The sequence below is a fragment of the Homo sapiens genome, chromosome 7 (genome assembly GCF_000001405.40).
Source record: "Homo sapiens chromosome 7, GRCh38.p14 Primary Assembly".
NCBI classification, from domain to species: domain Eukaryota; kingdom Metazoa; phylum Chordata; class Mammalia; order Primates; family Hominidae; genus Homo; species Homo sapiens.
Window position 1 is genome coordinate 145,683,960 of NC_000007.14, and position 6,978 is coordinate 145,690,937.

A 6,978-nucleotide genomic window follows, 5' to 3' on the forward strand; every position below is an offset into this window, starting at 1 on the left:
ATTGTTACAGTTTAAACATACAACTGAATTTTATGTGTTGATTTTGTACATTCTATCTTTGCTAAATTTTGTTTATTAGGTGCAATCATTTGTGAAGGTTTTTTTTGGTGGACTCTTTAGAAATTACTGCTGATTTTTAATTCAGTAGATTATTTTGACTATTTTCGAGCAATAGGTAAATATAGCCTTTTTGAATTTAATCTTACATGTTTGGCATTTTTGTTGAATATTATGTTTTTGAGATTCATCCTATTCCCCTATTCTTTTCTATTGTTTCAGATTGTTACCTTAATTGCTGTATATTTTACATTGCTTCAATATATCCCAATTTATTTATCTAACCTATTGTTGATGTCCTTAAATGGACATATCGTTTTAAGATAATGCTATGTATCAAAATTTCCTTTAAAGTTGCACATTTTGTGCTTTGTGAAATTGTCAATTCCTATGTCATGGGGATGTACTCTATGGATCCTGGGAAGTAATAATTCTGTGGTAGGCTGAATAATGGCACCCAAATACAGTCATCCTCTAATCCATAGAACCCATGAATATTACCTTCTGTGGCAAATGTGACTTTTCATATGTGATTAAGTTAAATATCTTCAGGTTGAGAGATTACATTTGAATTATGTAATCTCTCATAGAGTTGAATAAACAGTGTGGACCCTAAATGTAGTCACAGTGTCCTGACAGGAACCATACAAAGAGAGATTTGATGAAAGTACCAGATTTAATGACAGAAGCAAGAAGTTGGGCTAATTTGAGAAAAGAAACATGAGCCAAGGAGTTCAAGCAGCATCTAGAAACAAGAAAAGGCAGGAAAAAAAGATTCTATTCCTAGAGCTTCCTGAAAGAACCAGCCCACCAACACTTTCTCAGTCAAACTGATTTTAGACTTCTGGCTCCCACTTTAACAGGACATATCACGTCTGTATCTCCAATTCCAATCCTGCACCTAATCATCCTCAAAATGTTAAGAGTACAGCGATCTGAAAAATGACTTTGAGTCTTTTTGGGAAATAATTGAATTCTTCCTCTTGAGGTCTTGGCCACCTCTTCTTTGAATAGGTAATAAGATTCCAAACTAACCAAGGTCTGGGATTTAGAAATCTTTCTGATTCTTGTTTACCTCTTTACCTTCTTTCCATCAGCACTCTTATTAGCTGTCCATCTATTTTGCCTAGTAATGTCATGTTCTATTGATTACCTTCTCAACTCTCAGTGTAGCAGAGCTGGTCACATTGGCTATGTGGAGGCTTCAGATGGGCTCAAAAACACAGACTCTCATTTACCAAGTTTGACATAAAAGCTTCTAATTCTGGATTTCTAATCTAACAGTAGCAGAGATTAAAACTGACCCTCTAATATTTAGCTCTTACTAAAAGACCAACAGTCTATTTGGTAGCAAGCTTGTTATATTGGATATCTTGTATCCTGATAGGTTCACAGGTTTATTAAAAATATATGCTTATTTATAAAATGGGTTTAACATTTCTGCCTGCAAAGCTTGAGCCAAAACCATTATCTGGATCTTAAGGGGTAACTGAACTATAGGTATTAGAATCCACATAACATCTGACCAAAGACTCAGTTCATAGTGAAGGATGTGTGGGAGTGGGCCCATTACCGTGGGACATTTTTTGTATCACATATTTCACTATTTAGAAACTGTAGTCTGGTAGAGAATTGGAATAATCTTCTGAAGGTACAGCTGAAGCATTAGCAAGAATGGAGTGCCATTGTCTCTATGGCATTGTGTCCCCAGTGGGAAGAAGGCACAGGTAGTAGAACTAACATGTGAAAGCTGGGGTGGTCCCAATTATCATCATTAACAATGTGCCAATGGGAGACTTCGTGCTTTCCATCTTCACAGTTCTGGGTTCTGCAGGGTTACATGTCCTGGTCACCAGAAGGTGGTAAGCTGTTATCAGGGAATATAACCAGGATTTCATTGTGCAACAAGCTCTGGCTGCTGAAAGAAAGGTCACAATCATGTAAGAAGTAATTAGCCCTGAATGCAGAAAGAAGTAGGGCTACTGCTGCATATGGCAGTAGGGAGGAAAACAATGGGTATTCTTGGTACTCCCTGTCATGGCTGTGACTGTAGATGCACAAGTGCAAGAAATCTAGTCAGATAAAATCATGTGTTCCAGGGTTACAGATGCCTCAGAAATATAACTTTGGGTCATATCATATGGTATTTACCATATGACTGACACATACCAACTGACACAAGTAGAAGTAATAGGATAAGTTGAGTGGAATTCAGAGTGGACAGTGGAAAAGGGAGAATTTGGCAGGGGGAGGGGTGTAGGGTTTTTTAAAGAATTGATTCACATGATTATGGAGGCCAGCAAGCCCAAAATCTGCAGTACGGACTGGCAGTCTGGATAACTGAGAGCCCATGCCTCAGTTCAAATCCAAAGGCTCACTGCTGGCCGAATTCCTTCTTCTCAGGGGAGGTCAGTCTGTGTTCTATTAAAGCCTTCAGCTGATTCGATGAGGTCCACTGATATTTTGGAAGTCAATCTTCTTTATTCAAAATTTACCATGTTGATATCATCCTGAATAAAACACCATCACAGACAATTATCCACAATAATGTTTAACTATCAAAAGGTCTCATTCCCAATCAACCTCTTGGTTCTAAATCTATTTTGTTATCTTCCAAGAGGACCAAGTCAAAACCAAAAGAACAATAAAAATGATTATTATTGGTAAGTGTTCTGTAAGCGTAGGTAAAATCATCATAACTATTCCTAGAGAGAGACAACAAAAGGTGATGATAGCCGTACAAATTTATGTTAGAGTTACTAATACTGGCAATTAAAAATAACTGGGAATTAGAGACAAAATGTGGAAAAGAAAGGTGAGACAGCCAAGTAAAAAGGTCTCCCCAGAGAACCTCCAACTGGCCTGTGCACTGGGAAAAGCTATGGAAGTTCACACCATTTGCAGAGGGGAGGAGCCCAGCCTTTTGAGTTCCTATGTGGTGGGGTGAGAGCTGGTTAACAGGCTTCCCTGTCACTTTTAGCAAAATTTTTCTCCTTTTTCATTTTTGCCCAATAAATTCCATTTTTCTCACCCTTCTATGTGTCCATGAACCTAATCTTTCCACGTCATCTGACAAGAACCTGGTTTTTAACTGAACTAAGGAGAAAGTCCTGAAACATTTTGGCACCCCACATGGGACTTGAGAAAGGGTTAGTGAGACGCAAACCAAAAAAATCTTTTTCTCTTTTGCTTCTAAGCCTCTTTTCCCTCGGACTTCTTCTGAGGGTAAACTATGCTGCCACCTTCCATTGCTCCTGGGGGTCATGAATGTTGACCTCAGTCCAACCAAGTCTTTCCATGGCTGTTTCCTTCCTTTTTCGGGAGATGGGTGAGCAGTGGCTCTCCACCACCCTCCCCTCCCTGCCAGGGCTGGGACACATGACACAAGGGCCCCTGCAACTATCTGGTGTTTCCCACCACACACTTGGGGGTCTCCCTCTCCCCAGTCCTGGGAATTCAGCTCCATCCCAGAGCAATTAAGCTTTTCTTCCTGGTAAAGGAACCACTTGCATAAGAATAAGAAGTTCATCCCAGGGCATCTTTATCTCTACCCTGTCAGCCGGTAACTTTTAAATGAGTTTTTTCCTTTGGAAGACATTTTGGTGGGCCAAGAATGATTGGGACCATGGTTCATATTCTCTGTAGAGTTTTAATTTTAATTGTGAAAAAGGATTTGTGAAGCTGGTCTCAAGGTGTAGCCAACCTCCTGTGCTTTGCATGTCTTTCTGTATGGTCCATAGCAAACTTTGCTGCAGGCCTCCATCTTGTTTTACATCCTGGGGGCGTGGCCTGTAACCCCGTTGCAGCGCTTTGTTTAGCGTCTGTATTAGTCTGTTTACAGGCTGCTGATAAAGACATACCTGAGACTGGGAAGAAAAAGAGATTTAACGGACTTACAGTTCCACATGGCTAGGGAGGCTTCAGAATCATGGTGGGAGGTGAAAGGCACTTCTTACATGGCAGTGGCAAGAGAAAAATGAAGGAGAGGCAAAAGCGGAAACCCTTGATAAACCCATCAGATCTCATGAGACTTATTCACTATCACAAGAATAGCACTGGAAAGATCGGCCCCATGATTCAATTACCTCCCCCTGGGTCCCTGTCACAACACATGGCAATTCTGGGAGATACAATTCAAATTGAGATTTGGATAGGGACACAGCTAAACCCTGTCAGCTTCTGTGCATCCAGGATTCAGTTCTGGCTTAGAAAATCAGTCCTATCTGGTCTGATATCTGCATGACCTTTTGCTATTTGTTGATTTCCTTCCCCTTCATGAACAGGCAGAAATATTGACAACTTGTTGGGTAATAAGGGAGATAAAAGGATTTTCTTAAGAAGCTCTCAGCTTAATTAGAAGTAGATATCCAAGTTATAGTTAGATGTAAAAAGCCTCTATGTTTTCTTTTTATTGGACCTTGTTTTGCTGGAAAAAGGATTTTTTTCAGTCAACGGTATTATTTTTCTCAATTTTTCCTTGCCAATTTTACTGCACACATGAGAGTGGAGAGACCTTTGGTTTCCTCATGGAACCCCCAAAATTAAAAGCAGATAGAGCCCTCTCCCCATGATCAAACATCTTATGGCAACTGTTTTAAATGTTTTAAATTAGATTAAATTCTTCTGCCTGTCTGTGTAGTTGTATATGTGTTGTGTATGTGATGTCTATAAAAAGAGCCCTAATTAATTTGGCATAAAGGAAGACAAGTGCTTGGATCAAATATTTTTTAAGGGGAATATAAAAGCTGTGGTACCTTTCAATTCATGTGACTTTAATCCTTGAGAAATAAAAACAGCCTTAAAGATTATTGGTAAAACGCAGGTGTCATCAAAATATAAATAGGTGGACTAATTTTTGCAGGTCAGATGCAAGGTTTTTAAGTGTTTTGAGGTTATAAACTGCTTTTTGGTTTTTGAGAACTGTTCAACTTGGTAAGGCCGGGGGACATATGAAATTAACCACAACCTTAATTATGCTGCAAGGAGTCAAACTTTGGCTGCACCTAGCACACAATCAAAACACTTACTAGGGTTTACATTAAAGTTAAAAACTGCTAAAAGTAACCATTAGGACATGCAATTGAGACTCCTGGAAATAGATTTACATGTGAGGTGTGTAAGGTCAGTAAAATGTGTTTTTAATAAAAGATTATCAGAAGGCATAAAAATGTGAATACTGGCCGGGCACGGTCACTTACGCCTGTAATCCCAGCACTTTGGGACACCAGGGAGGGTGGATGACAAGGTCAGGAGATTGAGACCATCATGGCTCACACGGTGAAACCCCATCTCTACTAAAAATAAAATAAAATAAATTAGCTAGGCATGGTGGCACGCGCCTATAGTCCCAGCTACTCCAGAGGCTGAGGCAGGAGAATTGCTTGAACCTGGGAGGTGGAGGTTTCGGTGAGCTGGGAGCGCACCACTGCACTCAAGCCTGGGTGACACAGCGAGACTTCATCTAAAAAAAGAAAAGTGTAAATACTTGCCTAGGGTTTAAAAAATATTTTAAATTAGATAAGATAAAGCTAAAAGTTCAAACAAGTGGTGGAAGGATTGTAAAAACTAATCTTGCAAATATTCTGTGTGTGAAAATATTGACTAAATTCAAAAGGGTATTATATGTTTTTTCTGTAAATTGAGCATTAAAATAAAAGCACAAGGTACTCTTAAGGCACTAATCTGCTCTTTAGAAAAATTTGTAAAGGGTTTAAAAGGGTTTTTTTGCTTTTTAAATTTTTCTTAGTCATTGTTTTGGCAAAAGAAATAACTTACGGTAATCTGGAATTTTATTTCATAGCACCAAGTGTTTCACAACTCTACCATATTTAACAGGCTTCCAAATATCAAACTTCAGTTTCAAAATTGTCTTTGCTCACACCTGGCTTTTCAGATACTTCAGGAGGGCCCCTGGAGAATCCAGAAAAGAGAGGTAAACAGAATTATATAACATGTTTAGGTACATGGGGTTGCCAAAATGGTGTTCAATATTCTTTAGGCTTTATTTTGGTGAATAATATTAATATAGTGAATAATATTAATATATGTTCTAAAATTTTATGGGATTTCCAAAATTCTAATGTCTGAGTATGTGCTATCAATCATAATTAAGGTTGTTATGTTAAGTTATTGTAAACCACAGAGATAACCAAACTTCTTTGTCAATTGTGTTTCTAACTGTAACTACCATGGACATTTTGTTATTCACAGACAATTGTTTTCTTGTTTGGATCCTTTTAAAAAGATGGTTTATAATAAACTATAGAACATTGACAGGTGCTCTCAAACATGGATTTCTGATAACTTTGAAGGTTATAACATTGGAATGAAGAAAAAATATACAGGACTCATGAGAGCTGAAATGTTCAAGAATATCAAGCAAAATAAGAGTTATCTAAATGGACTGAACTCAGAAAGCCAAAGCAATCTTTTTGACATTTGTTTGGAACATTACTGATCCTGTTTTGTTTTTCAGAGTCAAAAAAACTTATTTTGAACAATTTATGGCCTTTAATAATTAAGTAAGTTATATTCCTGTGAAAAAAATTTGGATCATGTTTTTTTCTGTCTGCCTGGTTCCTCTAGAATTTGAAAACTAAATGTGAGCATTCTTAACTTATGGCAATAGAGTTGTTTGCCACGAGTGCAGTAAGAATCTACTTTTCTTTTGTAACAGGACACAATTGGAGAAACTGGTTGTTTTACCAAGGCTATGACTAGAAGGGTATGCTTCCCTTTAGGGAGTCAAGCTCAACTTGCAGAGCTGACAAAAGCCACTTGGGGAAAAAACAACCTCATACCTTAGCCTATACAGACCCTATACGGGGTTTCTGACCCATAGTCAGTAAAGAATGTCACTTTCTAACAGGCTCAGGAACTCCAAATTTTTCTTGAGATCTTAAGAGGAGAGGATCACACAAC